This window comes from Homo sapiens, chromosome 6 (genome assembly GCF_000001405.40).
Source record: "Homo sapiens chromosome 6, GRCh38.p14 Primary Assembly".
Taxonomy (NCBI): Eukaryota; Metazoa; Chordata; class Mammalia; order Primates; family Hominidae; genus Homo; species Homo sapiens.
The window spans coordinates 91,795,538-91,816,873 of NC_000006.12; the positions used below are offsets into that span (position 1 = coordinate 91,795,538).

At 32.9% G+C, this 21,336-nt stretch overlaps 1 pseudogene, besides 1 other annotated feature; it reads right to left on the reverse strand.

Moving 5' to 3' along the window:
- Positions 1,028 to 1,582: an enhancer, noted in NCBI's record as "OCT4-NANOG hESC enhancer chr6:92506283-92506837 (GRCh37/hg19 assembly coordinates)". NCBI's record gives its function as "activates a minimal SCP1, AML or CMV promoter by ChIP-STARR-seq in naive H9 embryonic stem cells {active_cell/tissue: H9 hESC(naive)}" and the evidence as "EXISTENCE:reporter gene assay evidence [ECO:0000049][PMID:30033119]".
- Positions 20,306 to 20,870, reverse strand: LOC100129847 (ras homolog family member A pseudogene; annotated as a pseudogene).

Below are 21,336 nucleotides of genomic sequence, written 5' to 3' on the forward strand. Positions count from 1 at the left end.
AATGAGTACTGCAGCTTTCATAAAGTAAATAATTTCCTTCACTTTTTTGCATGAGTACCATTTTGTCAGCAAGCTAGTGTACTAATGATCATCTTAGTATGGACTAACAAATCTTAATCTAAAATGTGTCTTAAATTATCAATATGTTGATAATCAAGAGAAGCTAATATTTCAGACATGGGAAAATTAACTACTTTGGTTGCCTAATGATAAAGAAGCGTACTGTACAAACCAGTGTTTTATTCCATAAGACCACCATGGTGACTAGTTATAGGGTCTAAATAGTTCCCTGGGGATCCATAAGTATTAACATAACTTCAAATGTTACTGAACCATAAAAACATTGTCACTAAGAAAATCTGTTTCAATATTTGCCTACATGCAAAACATGAAAACACTTTGCCTGTTTGTATTTACTGTAGCTATTTTCCATGTGTTTGTGTTTACACTTATGTGTGTGTGTCTGATTTGCGTATAGAGTAACCTTCTGTGTCTTTTTTCAAAGACAGAGGAATGAGTTATGATCACCAAAAGCTTCTCTCAACTACAACCTTAGGCTCAAACCTTGCAAGAGGCCTTCATTCCCCAGTGTGAATAAATTAGATCTAGTCCCACTGAAAAATCAACAAGGACCATCCTGCGGCTCGTTTCACTGGGGCAAAGAACAGGTGCAAGGCCCACATTTCTGACTGCTTGGTGCCTTGTTATTATTTTTATGAATAGTCGGTGCATCAGGAACTACAGGGATCCAAGCCTTTCCTTGAGCCCAATCAAAGGATTAGTGTGATTCAGGCAGAGATTGAATCTGTGTGGAAAATTGTCCATGCTGAGTTCTATTAGAAGGAGCTGCTGAGTGAGCTTCATTACTAATCACAAGGCAAAATTACAGTCTCTAGAAATGAGAAACCAGTAAACAAAATAATAAAAGTCATTTTAATTATTAAATGACAGTGTTACAAACCATATGCTACTTATCAGTGCCATAATGAAATACAGTAAATAGAAAAATATCCATATGGTCCATTCACTGTGATTTAATTTTGCATAATATATTATTTTAATGATTTTTTTAAATGTGACTAATTATCAAGTTCATAATTCCCTTCAGCAACCAGTATCTATATTTTTTAACAAATGTACCAATTTTTATTCACCAGTGCATTGTGTTGACTGAAGAACACTTGAAACTCTGAAAGGTCTTCTTTATACAGTCCAAGTTATCAGTGCCTAATGGTGCTAAGTGTTGAATTGCTCCCATTTTAATAGAACAATCAGGGCCTACTCTTTCCATTATCCTTCTCTGTGCACTTCCCATCCACACTATTGTTGTGCTGATTAGCCAGCATTATTTGTAAAGACTTGGTAACTTGTGATTCAGATATAACAGGTGATTCTCCCTTGTTATTTGAAAACCAAACATGTTTGATAATTTTTCAAGTTTGCAGAAATTATCGAAATGCCAATATCATTTTACTAGAAGCAATGAGCTGTTCTACTCAGTAAAACTGAATACAAAAATGACCTCTTGTTTAGTATTTTTGAGAATTGGCAAAGTAAAAGTAATACTTGGAAATAGCTGTTTGTTGTTAAATCTGCTGATGTTGAAAATTATATCTGTTATCCATCTGTCTTATTAAGCTCTTGAAATAAGAGTTTATTAATATACATGTAATGACCATGTACATTAATTTTCAGGAAGTAGGATGTTATTATCAGTGCAAAATGACCTATTAGTGTTTTATACTTGATATACTCATGCTTTTTATGGCACACAGAAGAGGGTCATTAATAACATAGCTCATGTTTCTAAAGCTATAATATTTATCCAAAACACTCCTTAAAATAAATATGCCCTATTTTTCTTTTACTATTTTAGTAAATACATATTGAATGCCTACTACATGCCAGACTAAAGTCATTCTACAAGAAGAAAATACTCAATTATTACCCAGAGGTATACACCAAAGAAATCTTATTTTTCATTACAACTAGGTGATTCATTGTTCAAAAGAAAATAATTTTACTAAACGTGTTCCAATATAATAGCATTTTATTAGACAATCTAGGACATTAACTTAGTCCCTTATCACTGCAGTGTGTTTTATAGGATGGACACTCAGTGAAAAGAAGATTGTCAAGTGGAAACTGTGGCACACTCTTAAGTCCCCCTAAAATATTACATTGCATTGTGAACCTAAGACGTCTATTTTTGGTGGGAATAATATTGCAGAGCTGTTGCTTAGTGTTAACATTGTGACTGACAAGGAGATACTTTTTTTCCTTTTGTGTTTCTGTATCCTAAAAAGACAGCTTATGATTTTCCCCATCCTTTTGAATACTCTTAAGGAAACAATGCTGAAAAAAACTGAATAAAATTAACTACTGGCAAAATGTTGTTGGTAAGGGGAAAAAAACAGTGTTATTGTCCCATTATTTAGAATGTTCAAAGTATATTTTAGAGTTGTATCAATATCTTTTTAATTAAAACAAAATAGGATTCACAAAATAAGGTCCATTTTGCTTTCTTTTACACAAAGGAGGAAGAAACCTGCTATAGGCTAGAGAAGTGATGTTGAAGATTATACTTAGAGAAAAGAGATATATTTAAGTGAGAAAATATGGCAAGCAAAAGCCTGAATGTAGAAAGGGAAGGAAGAGTAAAGAAGATGTGATTAGTTCCGTCATATATAAATTAAAACATGTAACTTGAAAATCAAGATTTTAGAAAATGTGTACAAGTTAAGCACACTGGCAAGAAAAAACTGAAAAAGGCTACAAATGTTGACTTGTATTAAATTATAATAAGGAATTTCATTTAGACTCTTTTACCTTTAGATTAAAATCTACTTTTCATTTAGATTATAATTTATTTATATTATTTTTATATTTTATGTTATTTTATATATATCATAATTTAAATGGTATTTATTTTTGCAATTCTGTCACTGAAATATGCACACAAATAATTTCAGACAATGGTAGAACTATTTTATTTCTTTCTCTGTAACAATAACATTGTCATTAGATTTTTCTTTTCCTGAGTAATATGTAATGGAATTCATGAAAATTAGTTTTCAAATAACTATTCCAAGGATAATTTTAAATGTAGTATTGTATAGTACTTTTTTCTTTAGTTAATATCCAAACTATAAAACCTTACAGTTATTTGTTGCATTTTATATTTATCTAAATGTATGTAGTTGTATATGAGCACATGTATGTGGATATTTTTCTCAAGGTGGCGTTTTTTTCCTGATGAATAGCTTTCTTTTCCATAATTTCTTCTGCATTCTCCTTACAACATCTAGAATAATATTTATAGGCAGTGTGATATTTTAATTGCTTTAAGAACATACAACATTAGTAATAATAGAAAGTGCTGAGTTAGTCCTTATTATGTGATGCAATGTTGTAAGCACTATATGTGAATTACCTAATAGGTAATTGCTATAACTATACCCATTTTGCCAACAAAGAAAGGTTATATAACTTTCCTAGGGTCGCATTACTGGTAACTAGGAAAGCAGATACTCTAATCCAGACAGTCCAGTTGTCTGAACTGTCTAAATTTAAAAATTCTTTTGTTTCCTTTTTAAAAAAATACAATAAGCTGAACATGTTTAAAAGGTACAATTTGATAAATTTTGACATATATATATACACCTGTGAGAATATTACCAAACTCAAGATAATGCAGATATTCATCACTCCCAAAAGTTTCCAAGGGCCTGGTTGGAATCCCTTCCTTTCATTCCTCACCAATCCTTCCCCCATCTTATGCTCAGGCAATCTGATTTGCTTTCTGTAACAATAAATTGGTTGTCACCTTCTAGAATTTTAAGTAAATGGAACTATACAGTATGTGCAATTTGTCTTGCTTTTGTCACTTAGCATAATAATTTTGAGATTCATCAATGGTATGTTTGTTAATGGCTATGTCTTTATATTGATAGATAGTATTTCCTTGCACAAATTTTTCCACTGTTTGTCCATTCACTTGATAATTGATATTTGGTATTTTCTAGATTTTCACTAATGCAAATAAATCTGCTACTGACATTTGCATAGAAGTATTTGTTATAGAGATGTAATTTCATTTTCCTTGAGCAAATAACTAGAAGTAAAGGGCTCAATGCTATTGTAGGTCTATATTGAACACTTTAAGAATCTCCAAATGTTTTCCAAAGTGGTTGTATCATTTTACTTACCCACCAGCAGCACTGGAAAGTTGTAGTTTCTTCACATTTTTGCCAACATTAAATGTGATCAGTCTTTTTACTTTTAGCTATTCTAACATATTTAGTAATATATAATTGTATTTTTAACTTTCATTTCATATAGAAAAATGATGCTAAACACTGTTTTGCATGCTTTTCTGCCAATAGGATGTCTTCTTTGGTGAAGCATCCAAATTGTTGCCCAACTTTTATTGGTTTGTTTTCTTGTTATTGTTTTAAGAGTTTGTTATTCTTAGCAAAAATTCTTTATTAGATATATTATTTGCAAATATTTTCCCTCAATATATAATGTTGATTTTCATTTTATTAACAGGATGTTTCAAAGAGAAGACATTTTTTCACTTTGATAAAACAAATTTATCAATTAATTCTTTTATGGGCTATACTTTCAGTGTTGTATGTAAGAAATCTTGGCCTATCCCAAGGTCATGGGATTTTATTGTATGGTTTTATTGTAAAGTTTTATAGTTTCAGGTTTTAAATTTTGTTCTAGTACACATTTGATTTTCTAGATTTTTCTACGTGGCACATACAAATAGACATCTAATTCTTTTAGCACTGTGTTGAAAAATTATCATTCTTTAGAAGCTGAATTTCTTTTATACCTCTGTCCATATATATATATATTTCTGGATTATCATTTCCATTTATTTGTTTTTCTGTCTTTGCTTTGATGTCACAGTATTTTGATTACTATACTTTTATATAAGTGTCTAAATCAAGTAGCGTTTATCTCTTTTAAAGTTGGTTTGTCTAGTCTAGGGCCTTTGCTTTTTTATATGAATTTTTGAATGAGTTTGGTACACACATGCAAAAAAAATTCTCTTGTGAGTTTGACTGAGATTTCATTAAACCCGTAGATCACCCTAGGAAGAGTTAACGTGTTGATAATATTGAGTCTACTGAACCACAATCATAATATATCTGTCATTTTTTAGTTCCTTAGTTTATTTCTTTAGTATTTTGTTGTTTTCAGTGTGCAAGTTTTCTACATGTTAGATTTATCCCTAAGTATTTCATATTGTTCCAGGTTATTGCTACATTTTAAATGTTAGTTTTTGATATTTGTTGTATTTAGAAATACTATTGATTTTTGTATATTGATTATGTAACCTGAAACCTTGCTGAACTCGTAAATTAATTTTTGTAGATTTTTGTAGATCTGTCACAATATCTACATGTACAAGTATGTCATCTACAAATAAAGACAGTTTTACTTCTTTCTGTCTAATCGACATGCTTTTATTTCTTTTTTCTCTAACTTATTCTACTAGCTAGAACCTCCAGTATAATGTTAAACAGAAGTGTTGAAGGTAGTTATTATAATTTTTTTCTTGTTTCCATCTTATGGAAAAGGCATTCAGTCTTTCACTATTAAATATAATATTAGCTGCATATTTTCATAGAACCACTTGGTTGGACAAATTACCTTCTATTCTTAGTTTTCTAAGAATTTTCCCTAGGAACAGGTTTTGGATTTTCTCTACACCGTTTTCTCCATTGAGATGATCACATGGATTTTTAATAATTATCTTCCAATATTGTGAATTACATTGATGGGTTTTCTAATGTTAAACCTTCATTCCTAGAATAAGCCCCGCTTGGTAATTATGTATTATATATTTTTATTGTTGGCTTCAATTTGCTAACATTTTGTAGAGAGCTTTTGCATCATGTTTAGGAGATGTTTTTTTCTTTCTGTTTTTCTTTTATTGTCAGAGTAATTCTGGGCTCTGATAGTGCCCTCCTTTTCATTTCTTTGGAAAAACTTGTGTAAAGTTTGTATGATATATTCATTAAACATTTGGTGGAACTTAATAGCGAAGCCACATGAGACTAGAATTTTCTTTCTTCTTTCTTTCTTTTTTCTTTTTTTTTTTTTTTTTTTTTGAGATGGAGTCTCGCTCTGTTGCCCAGGCTGGAGTGCAGTGGCGTGGTCTCGGCTCACTGCAACCTCTGCCTCCCAGGTTCAGGGTATTCTCCTGCCTCAGCCTCCCAAGTAGCTGGGACTACAGGCAAGTGCCACCATACCCGGCTAATTTTTTTTTTTTTTTTTTGTATTTTTAGTTGGCCAGGATGGTCTCAAACTCCTGACCTCGTGATCTGCACAACATGGCCTCCCAAAGTGCAGGGATTACAGACATGAGTTGCAGCGCCCAGCTGAAACTAGAATTTTCTGACTGGAAAGAATTTTAACTACAACCTGAAGTTTGTTAAAAATAGATACATGGCTGTTCAAGTTATCTACTTGTTATTGAATAAATATTGGTAGTTTGCGTTTTTCAAGCAGTTGGTTGATTTCCTCTGTTGTCAAATTTACTGGCATAACGTTGTTCGCAGTATTCTTTATTATACTTTTAATATATGTAGAATCTGTAATGATATGACCTCTCTTATTCCTAATATTGGTGATTTGTGTCACCCCTCACCCCTCTCTTTTTGTTGGTAGTCTGGCATGAGATGAATCAATTAATTTTCACATTATTAAAAACTATCTTTTGATTTTATTGATTTCCTCTATTTACTGTTTTCTATTTTGATTTATATCAATCCTTATTTCCTTTCTTTTATTGTCTTAAGGTTTAATTTACTATATTTCTCTAGTTTCTTAGGGTTGAAACTATAGTCATGAATTTGAGAACTGTTTAATTTTTCCTAATACAGATCTAGTGCTATAATTTACTTCTGAGTTCTGCTTTACTAGCATCCTGTATATTTTGACATGTGTTTTCACTTTCACTCAGTTCAAAATACTTTCTAACATACTTTTTGATTTTTACTTTGACCTATAGGCTATTTAGAGTTGTATTGTTTCATTTTTCAATATTTGGGGATTTTCCAAGCATCCTCCAGTGATTTATTTCCAATTTAATTCCACCTTGGCCAGAGAACATATTTTGCATGACTTGAATCATTTTAAATTTTGGAGTTGGAGGACTTATTTTATGGCCCAGAATATTGCTTACTTTGGCAAAAGTTCCATGTATACTTAAAAAACTGTGAATTATTCTGTTGCATATAGTATTTTATAAACATCGATGAGCTGGTTGATAGTATTTTTCAGGTCTTCTATATTGTAATCTATATTTTATCTTTTTGTTGTACCAAGTAGATTGTTGAAATCTTTAACTATAATTGTGGATCTATTTTCACCTTTCATTTCTACTATTTTTACTTTATATATTTTGATGCTCTATTTTCATTGCATTCAATTTAAAATTTTTTATATCATCTTAAAAAATTGATGACTTTACTATCAAAGAATGACATTCTTTATTCTTGATAAAGCCTTTGCTTTGATATCTACTTCATCTGGTATCAATATGATCATTCCACCTTTCTTTTGATTAGAGTTATCATGACTTTTTTTATTCTTTTACTTTTGATACACTCTGTCTTTGTATTTAAACTGGGTTTCTGGTAGATAGTACATAATTGGGTCATTGTATCCATGTCATAAGTCAAAAATGTATACTGTAAGCCACAAAGCAGCCATAAAATGATAAAAACAAATAACCATAAAGCCCAAAAAGAAGATAAAAATGGAATCATAAAAGATCCTCATTGGATTCAAGAATAGTCAAATAAAGAGAAAAAGCCTGCTGTTTAAAATGGTGTGTTTTGACTGTTTTCATTTAATGTGATTGCTTAATTAAAATCTAACATTTTGTTTCCCATTTGTCTGATGTATTCTTTGTTTACATTTTCCTCTTTATCTGACTTCTGAATTAAATGAGGACTTCATGATTTTATTTTATCTACATTGTTGGCTTATTGGTTATTTGTTTTTATTATTTTAATGGCTGCTTCGTGGTTTATAGTAACTTATGTTGTTAAGTAATACATAATTTTGCACATCTTAGAATTATAAAATACAATACTTCTGTGTTTTCAATCTTTGTTTTCTTATTGTCACACATTCACTTTTACATATGTTAAAAACTACACACTATATTGATTTTATTTTTGTTTAGTTAACTAGTTTTAGGAGATGTAAATAACATTAAAAATTATCAATAGTTACCATTTCTACGATCTTCATTTCTTTGTGTAGATTCATATTTCATCTGGTATAATTGTTCTACTACCAGAAAGATTTATTTAAACATTTTATTTTCAGTACTGTCTGTCAGTGATAAATTATTTGAGCTTCGCTGTGTCTGAAATGTCTTTTTTCTGCTGTTGCTTTTGAAAGATACGTGTGCTAGGAACAGAATTTTTGGCTGACAGCTGTTTTCTCTCAGTACTTTCAAAGGTATTGCTCCACTCTCTCCCAACTTTCATTCTTTTCAATTATAAATCTGCTGTTATCTTTATCTCTGTTCTTCTTTGTGGTCTATCCCATGTGTTTTTCTTTTGCTGTTTTAATAATTTTTCTTTTATTTTTATCACTAATTTAGGACAATTTGGTCTTATGTGCCCTGGTGTAGTTTCTTCTTTTACCTTTCTTTTTCTTTTCTTTTCTTTGTATTCTTTCTTTTTCCTTTTTTTTTTTTTTTTTTTTGTAATTTGGATTTATTGCTCTTTGGATCTGTAAGTTCACAGTTTTCTTTAAATTTAGAAAAGATTCAGCCATTGCTTTTCACATATGTTTTGACACTCCCACATCCTTTTCTCTGGTGACTCTAATAACACACATATAAGGCTACTTACGATTGCCCAACAGCTCACTTGTGCTTTGTTCATTATTTTTTGTGCACCTTTTTCTGCTACATTTTATTATGAATAGTTGTTTTCATTATAGTTTTTGTTTCTAGATATTTAATTTGTTTTTATTTATACCCTTCATATTTCTACTCATATTTTTGAATATATAGGAAAGAGTTATAATATATGTTTAATACCTGAGTGCCAATTCTAACCTCAATTCTGGGTGACTTTCATTGCTTTATTTTTCTTCTCATTATGGGTCTAATTTTTCAGGTTTTTTTGCATGCATGCTATTTTTTGACTGGATAGCAGGTATTATATTATAATTTTTATCTTTTTGGTTACTGAATTTTTTTTATTCCTCTGTCTTCTTGAGTTTTTTTCCTAAGACACCATTAAGTCACTTGGAAACTGTTTGATCCCTAATTTGCTTTTAAGATTTGTTAGACTGGACCAGAATGATGCTTAGCAGACGTCTGATTATTTCCCACTACTGAGATAAGGCCCTCCTGTGTGTTCAGTTCAATACCATGAATCATGAGGTTTTCTAATCTTTCTGGAAGGATTAAGCACTATTGCAGACCTGTGTGAGTGCCAAACACTATTATCTTTGATCTTTTCAGGTGGCTCCTTTCCTGTCTTGTGATAGTTCACTCACATGCGTATACTAATTAGTTTTCTGTTCAATACTTGAGGGACACTCTCTGCAGATCTCTGGATTCATTTTCCTGGGCAGCTCTTTTCTCTCTAGTGCGTTCACCTACATATTCTGGTCTCCTCAGCCTCCTTGAACTCTCAACTCCATCTCTTCAACTCAGGGGGTCCATCAGGTTCCCTTAGTACCTCTCTCTTGTGAAGTGGTATTGAAACCCTCTCAAGGCAGTTAAGCTGGGAGCAGTCATAATGCTTACCTAATGTTTCCCAACCCTCGGTGATAACTCATTTTCATTGCCTGATGTCTACTGATATTATCTTGTAATCCAATGTTTCATTTTGTTGCTGTTGTTACCTTGTCCTGTTACTCCAACTTAACTAGAAACAGAAATTGGCGATCCTTCTACTCAAGATTCTCCAGAGAAACAGACCAATAGACTGTGTGTGCGTGTGTCTGTGTGTGTCTGTGTGTCTGTGTGTGTGAAGAAATGTATTATAAAGAATTGGTTCATCCAATTTTAGAGGCTAGCAAGTCCAAAATCTGTGGGGTGGACTAACAGGCTGGAGATCCAGGAGAGCTGAGAATGTAGTTCCTGTCCAAAGACCAGCAGACTAGAGGCCAAGGAGAGCCGATGTTCTAATTCAAGTCCTAAAACAATTTACTGTAGAGTCAGAAAGCTTAAATGTTGAAGGGGAAGTCCAAGGGAAGTCTCTGGAAAAATTGCTGTTGCTCAAGAGCAATCTTTTTATTGCATTAAGGCCTTCAACTGATGCGACCCACCCATGTAATAGAGTGCAATATACTTTACTTGAAGTCTACCAACTTAAATGCTATTCGAAAACAGCCTCACAGAAATACTCAGAACCCTGCTGTTCTCTTGTCTTCTTTCCTCATGAAAACAAAATCCCTGCTATACAAACAACTAATTGAATAAGACAAATCTTGTACTCAAAGCCAGATGATGGGTTTTTAATTTTATTGTGCTACTTACCACCTCTGTGACATTACTAGAACTCAACATTAGACCACATTTAAAGCTTTTATGCTTACCCAGGTAATAGGATACTTGAAAATTGTGTCTCCATTTAAGGAAAATCATGCCTTCAAAGTATATTTTAGGTAATAGCACTAAATAGGAACTCTTTTTCCTAACATAACATGACTCTATTATAGGTGAGCAAAGTAAAGTCGCCACCACATCAGAAAATCCACAAACAATCAAAATATTTAAAACACATATTCATTTTAATAAAGTTATTTATTATATCGCCGCTTGATCATTTATTGTTTACTAATATTACTAAAAGACAAATAATAGCAGAAAAGAAAATAAATATGAGAGAAAACATGAAATTGAGAAAACTCATACATTAGCTCTTTTTTCCCTTATACATTTGAAAAAGATTGCTATTATGTGAACTAGAGTGTGGTCTAAATCTATCTCAGCTCAGCTCAGGGACAACTTGGAATATGGATTGAGAAAAGTCGAAGAGATTGTTTCTAAGATGTATGCTAGCTCTCTCTTGAACGAAGTGTTTTATAAGCTAAGACCTTATAAAAAATGTGAAGTAATTTTGCTTTTTTTGTCTGTTATGAACACTCTTCCTGAAAAATGTGATTCCAATTAATATGCTGCAAAGGAGAGAACTTTTGCTTTTTCTTTGAATGTTTCATAAATGCTACATTAACTCTGGATTCACAAATATAAATATTTTATTTTCTGTTTAACAAACTTTAGAAAGAGACTGTTGGCAATTGAACCAAAATATTTAAGTTGAACTTTCATAGGTATGTGAATTAATTAAAATAATATTTTACTACCCTAAATTTTCATTGAACCTTAATTGAATTCAAAGTATCTTTATTACTAGAAAGGAATCAATTTGAAGGCATAGATAAAAATGTAATTGATGTATTTAGTTAATTTATTTACCCCCTGGTATTTATTTCAGGAGGAAATTTGGTAATTTTTAAGTGAAAAACTGTCATCTTACTTACCTAGAACCCCTGGCAATATTAGCTCCTCTGTCAATATCACAGCTGCAACCACTTAAAACATCCTTATAGATATCAAACTTCCAATTATACATAGTTCTATGATACTGTATCATACTGTTAACAACTGCTTATATGTGTCTAATACTCATGGTATAGGCCTTCGTCTGAGCACAGAGAACACCATGAGGTTTCTCAGAATACTCTTTTCACTTATCCTTACAGGTCTTGGAACATGTGAATTCATTACTGAACGTAACCTTAGGATTACAGCATTTATTCAGATTTTCTTACAGCATCTGCTCTTCCTCTGAAAAATATTGGCCTTCAAGGAGATCTCACCATGACTCATCCATCATACCCATCAGTTTGACTGTTGTTTCTCCTTCTAATTTCACTCTGTCTTTCAAGGATAGATACCATCTACTTTTTTAATAATAATAATAGACAGAAAATATTTGTTTATTTACTTATTTATTCAATTTTTAATTTTTGTGGGTACCTATTTGGTGATATTATCTACTTTTATATAAGTTGTTTTATTGTTTTGTTTGTAAGGATGTATCTTTTTAGATAAATTACTTAGCATTTTCTTTGAAAATTACTTAAGAGAGCATTATTAAAAGAAGATTAGTTTGCAATTAAAATATAGAAGTGAAGGTTCAGTTGTTGCAAATAAGTTCCTAATGGAGAAATAAATGTGGAAAAGTTTGCACTCAAGTGTCTCCCACGGATGATCTAAATTAACAGTGCTCAGGCTTGCTGGCCTTTTTCATTCCTAAATCATTCTTTAAGAAACCCACAAATGGAGTCGTAGCATCTTCACAGAGGTCCAGTGGAGCCAGCATGCTGTCTGAAGTAATGTTCTCACCTCTAGAGGAGGGAGTGGGCTTTTTGAAATTAGCAAGGATGGCTTTGATATATTCTCCTGCCTGTCATGAAAGACTCCACTTCATCTGGCTTGTGTTCTTCCTGCCTGCCTCTGATTGATTTCATGTAATCCTGTTGTGCTCTTTGTCATTGCCTTTCATGAAGCCAATTTCCTGCAGGTGGTAGTTCATTGCTTTATCATAATACAATAATATCTTGTAGTATCTTTTTTCTCCAGTCAAGCTGAGGTATTATCTGCAGAGATAATAAAAATATTTTCTCTCAGATAACATTTTAGATATGTCACCTCATTAAACCTTCCTGAGCTCTTTTGATAGGTTGCAAATGTTACCATGTCTGCTTGAAAAATTGGGAAATTGAGACTTTGCAAGTTATACAATTTGCCTTTAACTTGCAGAAAAAGTGTCAGGTATTGAAATAGTATCCCAAATGTATATTTCAACCTATTTCTCTTGTTTTATTAAGTCAAGTTTAGACTCATTTGTTCAGGAAATTAGCCAATCCTAAGTGACAGAAGACACTGGATGTGTCCTAAATTTCCTACTCATTCACTAATTCAACAAAACTTACAAAGTTCTGCCAACCTATGTAGATTGTTTCTAACAATACTATAATTCCAAGACACTATTTTTCATAGTAGCTTATTTGGGACTTTTGGTTACTGAAAATGCAGGGGATCAGCCCAGGCTTGGCATACTCATTTATACAAATTGCAATATAAGTCAAATTATATCATCTTACACTTTAAAAATGAATATAAATAGTGTACCTTTACTAGTCTTACTAGTCTAATGTATTTGGAATAATACAGGTCTTTAATAATACTTCTTCTTTTGGTAATATAGTCACTAATTTGAAATCCTGTCTCCTGAAAATTTTTCAACACATGAAAGAAATGTTTCCAGTTCCATGAAATGTGCAATCGTATGTGTTAACTAGTATTGGTTAAACCAGCCCAATCACCAAGGAGGCAACTCGCTTTACTTTGATGTTCCTTAGCTTTAGTTCTTCTGTTATACCAACATGAATTTCTTCCCTCCGCCCCTCCTGCTAGTTCTACTGAGGAAACACTATTAGGAAAACAATATTTTTGTTATGCAAAGCAACCTAATTGTTAGGTTAGCTAGCACTTATAAGACTTAAGTAATTTTATTTTAATATATTCTGGATTTTTCCCCTAGAGTTCTAATTTTTATGTATAATGCCAATTAATTCATTTATCAATAGATATTCGGAAGCAAATTTTATGTAATTTGGTGTAAAATCTTAATAAACAGTGAACAAGAGAGAACATCCACTTATTCTATATGTTTTGTTTTACTAGTTTCCTTTGAGTAAATAAAATGTTACTTAATTATATAAATTCTTTCCTCCAGCATTAATGAATCCATTATAAGGTACCAAGCTAAATCTTCAGCTTTCATGGAAAATTTGCTTTGTCTCCAAAATATACTAGCTATCAATAAGCACAAAGATAATACAAATTGGTATTGTACTTTCTTCTTTGCGTGGGTTATTTGTTTAGTTGGTTATAAATTTTGTGTTGGATTCAATCTAATTTATCATTTCTTACAATTATGAAATCTGTTAAATATTACCAGAGACCAATAAACCAATGAAATCATGTAACATCTCCTGATACAGTGGTGTTTTTAGATACATAGAAATTTTAAAAAATGAATTATTGGGTTGTTATTATGGACTTATGAATTATTACAAAGTGTTAGTATAAAGTTCAGGAACTTGTCATTTCATATGTTAATATTTCTTAAGTTTATTATGTTTATTGTTCTATTGTTAGAATATCTTTAGTTCTAGACAACTTGGAAATGTATCAATTTCCATTTAAAAAAATTGTGAGGGTAAATTGAATTTCAATTTAGATTATAAAATGACATTTTTATAAAGAAAACTTTATGAAAGGAAGAAATCATGGATACAAAGAGAAAAAGATCAATGGAGGGAGGAAAAGGGGAAGGAAGATGTAGGTGAGAGAAAGCTCATTCAAAGGAGATGCCACTTTCTGGGGAGAAGGAGGTAATTTATAAGATGAAGTAGCAGCAGCAGTTAACAAAAAGGCCTGAGAGACTGTGACAGCCTGAAACAGGTGTATATTATTCTTAAATGAGAAAAGACTGCCCAAGGTCATTAAGAATTAGAAAAGAAGAAAGAATTAATTTTAACAAGACATAGAAAGACATTTATTTCCCACATTTGAGACAACGTGAAGGAGATAGAACAGAGATAGGAAGCGTGGTGGAGAGAGAGTTGCAAAAGGTCAAATAGAAAATGCTTGGCATTTTTACAGTGTATTAATAATAACAAATATGACCTAGATTCTCAGTGGTGTGATTTTATAATAAGTTACAGGTGAAATATATATTACTTACTCTAGGTGATAAAATAGCAAAGGTTATAATAAAAAGAAATATGAGTAGACCAAAAATGAAGAAATTTATTCTTTTTGTTTGTTTGTTTGTTTGGAATTTTTGTTATTGAGTAGCGGTAATTAGACTCAGCAGCTCATATCCATCTGCAAACAGCCTCTCTGCTATTCCACTAGGATGTGGATCCAAAAATGAAGTAGAAGAGACAGAGTAGACCTGAAATATTCCAGAAGGATAAATCTTTTCCATTCCCTCCTCCAGCCAAAATGTCCATAAATTTGAAAGCATCAGGATTGATTGCCCTTGATCTTCAGCCACTCTCCAACATAAAGATACCGCATTGAATATCAAAGCCTCTCAAAGCGTTGGAGCCACAGTATTCACCTTCCCACCATTTCAATGACTTGTATTTACAAGTGTCTATTATCAAAGGCAAGCATACCCCCAGACAAGCACAGAAAAAAGGCACCCAAGTGGCCAGGTAATTCCCTATCTTTCTTTTTCAGTGTGCTATGCTGACTAACCAAGAGCTTGAGATAACTGTTGTACCTTCTGAAAACACAACTTCTGCATGTAGCTTTATTTATTTTCTACTCTAGTCTAAGCAGACCCACGACAAGCAACCTAACCCACAAGAAGAAACAAACATACTTTCCCTAGTTTTGCTATTTAAATGTTTTCACAAAAATCCAAAAAATTATACATAGATTCTAAACTGTTCACTCTTTCCCTGAGATTTTTGGTTAGCATGAATGTTAGATGTTAATTGTTTAAGTATGATCGGCAAGGCTTACATCTGTTTTTGCTGCTTGAAGAAAGAACAAATGAGCAGGAATGAGATGAAGAGCATCATAAGAGGCCAGTCCTTCAATCCACCCAGTATGTCAGTGTCAGCTAACGGTCAGTAGCAGGGCCTGCTTGTCAATACCCACTCCAAATATATCTCAAGTGTATTAATTGCAGCAAGGACCCATTATGAATTCTTCAGTGTTTTTTTGAATCTCCTTGTACTGTATTTCTAAACTATACCACTTCCTGGAGGTATTAAGTTACATTCATTTACAACTTAGCAGAAAAGTACTATTTTAATTTTTCTTTATATTGTTCCTAAGTCTTTCTTATTTTTTAAGTTCTATGCCCCCAGGTTTCTTTCCAGCTTAAAGATATAGAACCTAAATCTAGTATTTTGGGATTGGACAGCTATAAGCCTATTTAGCTTTTCACATGTATTATTAAGTATATTTTCTTCTATGCCCTTATGTCCTAATCATTATTGTCTGTCTGTCTACAATTATCTCCTCCATCCATCTCTCATTTAACAGAGTAGTTTAATTTAACACAATGGTATTTTATCAGTGTTATTATAATACTCTTAAGCAAAAATTATGAAATCTGCACAATTCCTAATGATGAAGCATTAATTTTGTATATAAAGACAGAATATTGTGTTCTGCCGGGTTTCTACTAAATCTTTTGTGGAACTCTGATATTTTGCAAAAAAAAAATGCTACTGAAAATGACACATTCTATAATTAATTACTTTTGGTGAAATACCAATTAAAAAAACCAACTACATATCTACCTTAGCAATTTTCTGAGTTTGAGGTTATAAAATGTACCAATTTGATCATCATGATTTCTATTATGAAAATCAGTATGTAATGATTTTATGTTAATTATAATGTCTGTAATTTTAAGGAACCAAATGGAAAATAAGAATGTCTCTTTTTCTCTGCACTAGTATTGATTTTCTTTCTCTGAGGTAAATAAGAGACTTTCTTGGAAAGAAATTATATTTTAAAGAAAAAGAGAAAAAGGTTTTCAAAACTGCATGGAAGACATAAATTGATCTAAGAGAGGCATAAGCTCAATAAATATTTTTCTATCATAAAAACATTTCTTTCATAAGAAAAATTCTGTATTCTTAACTGGAAGAGCTATTGTCTCTGCTTTTTATATCAAAAACTCAATCCATTATTTCTATTTCATAACCTTTTTTTCATCTCAGGTAGATGCAGGCTGATTTAACAAGCCATCATTTAAGTGTGTGCATTGTAATCTTTAGGACTCTGATTTTATACATTAAGAATATGAAAAACATATGGGAAAGATTTAAAGTATATTTCCTCTAGAAAAATCACTTTGCATTTGCAAACTCAGCAAGACCTTAATTAAAATCAATAGGTAAATTAAAAATATGTTTAATGCAAACTATTTCTTTTAGTCTAACTTCTAAAACTTCTATTTCACACCCCTCTTTTGTTCAACAACTATTCATTGAAAGCATGTACTGTATAACAGGTACAATATTAGCCAACACTTTGCATTATTGAGCAAGCAAGATATTAATCCAGAAGTAATATAAAACCAAGGGAAAAGTGACCTGCATGCTCCATGAAACTGCATAGCAAAGGGCCTAAGACTGGTGCTCCTCTTCCTGAACTGGCTGACTTAAATCACAAGAGTTTGACTGTGGCTTTAAGAGTTATTCTTTTAGTTACAAGTTTCCTTTCTCACATCTCCACATAGTTTTTCATCTGCAATAAAGCACTTATTTTATTACATCCACATTTGCTTCAAAAAAAGCAGATGTTTTTAATACCATTATTGGATAAATTTTATCTAAATGCAGCCAAAACAAATCCTGCCATTGATCTCTTCTGAACTCTTGGGCAAGGGTCACAGTGCTCTGGGGTTTATCTTCCTGGTATGAGCTCATCGTTCAGAGTGTGTACCTCCTTTAGGGGTGCAGAATACCATATGGTGTGCAGAGGAAGTGCTGAAGGAGCAACATGTAGTGAGTCAGTGTTTCTCAACCTTGTCTGATTTTAGGAGTCACTTGGGGAGACTTAAAAACACAGATTCCTAGGCCTCCCTAAACTACCAAATCACAATCTCCAGGGGACACATCCACAAGTCAGATTTTTTGCAAGCTCCCCATATGATTCTTTTGATCAGACATGTTTGTGAAACACTGTAGTACAAAGAAGACTGACAAATACTTTCTAGGGAAAGCACAGTTTATAAATAAACTTTTAAAGCCGGTTAATGCTGATGGACCTCAGATCTGAAGGATCAGGTAAGGACTTAGTGATCCCAGTAGAATTTTAGCAGCTTAAAACTAAGGTAAAGTCTATATGTCTTTCATGTTTTCTATAAAAAAGGTAAATAACAATCATTATATTTTTGCAAGAACCAGTATAGGAAACCATCTTTTTCCATATGACCACGAAATAGGGAATGGGTATGTGGTTGTGAGAGGAAATCCCCTATGTATTCAAAGAAACAGCAATTAATTTGAGTATGTTGAAATAAAACCTAAAATTCATCTCCTTTGCTCCTGTGGGCTAGATGAAATAAAGTCATGTCTGGCAAATATCGCACTACTTTATTTTAGTAAAACTCAAAAATAATTTATAGCTTTTAGAAACTGACTTTGTAAGATGTGTATGGAGGAAACCCCTTGTCACATAGCCAAGTCCTGCCAGGAAGAACATTTATTGCAATAAATGTACTTACGGTGAATCCCCTCTTAATGAAGGTATTTGGTCCTGTCTGGATGGAAGAATAAAACCGAAGTCCCAGTCCACTCTCTGGATAGAGAAGTCAATAGGTTTGCTAATCTGGGTGTAGTTTGCTTATAAAATATGTATTTCTTAAAATGGAAAATATTACTTTTAATAATTCCTTTTTTAAAAAAGCTAACACTTGTCTAGACACAATACTATCAGTTTAGAATTACATTCCATCATAGTTGGTCATACCCAAATGCATCAGATAAAATTATTCTTTCTCTTGTATATTTTGAAAAATACTCATGATTTTCTAGATGCACTTTATATTTCCCACTGCATGGGATTTTATAAAGTTTAATAACTTTGTGTTTATTTCTACTATGATAGTCTATACTTTTATCCTCTTTAGCTTTCTATTATTTTCCTAAAACTATTAAATCTGCCAGGGTTTTCAATTGAATTCAAGAACTATTTATTGAAGTTGTGTTAAGTGTCACACACTGTGCTAAGGCTGTAGGATACCATGATGAGTAGAATAAATCCTTAAAATATTTTTCTTGATTCTGCTTCAGAGTAAAAAAAAGTATTCTACATTCAGAATTTTGTTTTTATTTTATACACCTGAAAAACCCTGGCATGAGAAGATCTTGGTATTAAAAAGACCAATATATAAAACTCTCACCTTTTACTTAACATTTGTCTAGCCTAGGCTTGAAGAATTTCCCTCAATAGAAACTCCCTTCTTTAGAAAATCCCAACTGTTACAAAATTATTCCTTATCATGACCAAGTTTTTTATCCCTAAATATTCTGACTGTTGGTAATAGTTGCTCATTTCAGGTAGCAGGAAACAACTCCATCATCTGGCTTTGATAACCTTTTTATGTCATAACCTTTATAGCCTAAACATCTCTTTATACCACTTACCATGTTATGGAGATTTTATTTTAACCTGTTCGCAACTTATTGTAATTATTATATTTTACTTCCTTCTATCACTTTCTTTTGTTTTTACTGAATATAATCTTTTCCCTGTATTTATTTTCTAATATTTATTGGAATAATCATATTTCTATTAATCATTTTTTTTACTGCTTTGAAATTCTTATTTTTAAATTTTTGCTCTTTCATTGGTTTTATCTCTAAGATTTTTGAGCTATATGAGAAACTTAGACTACATTACCCGAAAAATCCATGTTTATTCTTATATTTCCATTAGTATTTTTCTTGGACCTTATTTTATTTTAGTATTTATTTATTTAAAAATGAATTTTCCATTTGACATTTCCAAACACATTTATTTTTTAACAAGCAATACACTGTCTTTGGGGATAACAAATGTCAATATTAGGAAATCCAATTATAAAAAAATACTATATCCAGTCTGGGGTAGATATATTTATTTTGGTAATGTACATTAAGTGGCACTAATTACACAGTAACTCTAAGGTAACTAACATGAAACCACAGAACTGTAACTGTGCCACAGCTGCATGGACTTGGGCCTTCCTTGTAGAACCCATTTTCAAAAGACCAGATGCCTGTCCCAGAGCTATGCCAATGAAGCCTGTTAAGGAGTAAAGCACTGAAGTTGTGTCTCACCAGAGTACCTTGCTGTTGACAGATGATAGGCAGGGAACGTTAGTTATAAAGTAGTTGCAGCCTAATTTGCAAAGTTACCAGCTGTTTCTCTTTCAAGACAGAAGCAAGAAGTTAAGAAATTCTTTGAATTTGCCGTGGTGCGTCAGGCAGAAGTGTAGAGGAGGGTTGTTAAGAGTAGTGGTAAAAGGATCCTGGTAGGCCTGACGGATTTGACATCATTAAGAATCAGGGTTGGTTTCTAAATACTGGTAACAAGATGGCATGCCTTAAATTTGTAATCTTAGGTAAACTGTATATAAGTGATAAAGGCCAGTGTTCATCCACTAAGACTAACCAACAGCACTTCAAAATTCACCTCTTAAGCACTGTTTCACAAGACAAGGCACCCAGAGTTTTTCTTCCCACATCTGGCTTGCAGAGTAGCTTTCGCAGCCACTTCAAAAACCTCTCTCACTCCATCTTTGGTCTTTGCTGAACACTTCATGTACCCCAAAGAGCCAATTCCCTTGACCATATCTCTGCCCTCTTCGAGTCTCACCCTCTTCTGCTTCATCCTGGCTAGCTCCCACCTTGTGTGCACATCATTCCGAAGATCCTTCTTGTTCCCAACCAGGCTGGTGGGCACGTTGGGACAGAAATGCTTGACTTCTGGGCTCCATTTCTCTGGGATGTTTTCTAAACTCTCAGGGTTGTCAACGGAGAACACATAACATCAGTGTCCGAGTAAAAGAGGGGCCTCAGGCGATCCTAATCTTCCTGCCTGGCTGTGTCCCACAAAGTCAGCTCTACACTTTCCCATCCACCTCGATATGGGCCACATAGTTCTGAAACCCTGAGGGTGCTCACCCCTCTGGGAACTGGTCCTTGCTGAAGACAATGAGCAAGCATGTCTTGCCACAGACTCTGTCACCGACAATTACCAGCTTCTTCTGGACGGGAACCATTGCTGGAGGACACTGGCCTGGGTGGCTGAAATTGTACGAAGTACCTTGAACTTCTCAGAGGACAGATTCGGGCGACGAATCCGAGTCCAGTCTCTTCGTGCCCAGGACGCCTGTCCGCAAGTCGCAAGCTGGGAAAGCAGGGCTGATAACTGAACTGGAGACCATGGACTCACGAGAGAACTGACGGAGGGCTACGCAGGAAGGGAGCGCGAGCTGGCCAGGGCCGGCGGCCTCCAGCTGATTTGAAAACTCTCACAGGTGGTCATAATTTCTCTTTTTATATTTGGTAGTCCTATTGAAAAACATGTTTATCTGTGTGTTTGTTCTTCTGTATCTTTGTTCAAGTGTGTTTCTTGTATTCTCCTTTTTTTTTTTTTTTTTTTTTGGTTTCAGTTTTACGCTCATTTCTTCATCCTCCCTTAGTAGTTCTTTCAGGGAGGGTCTGTGAGTGGTAAAATAT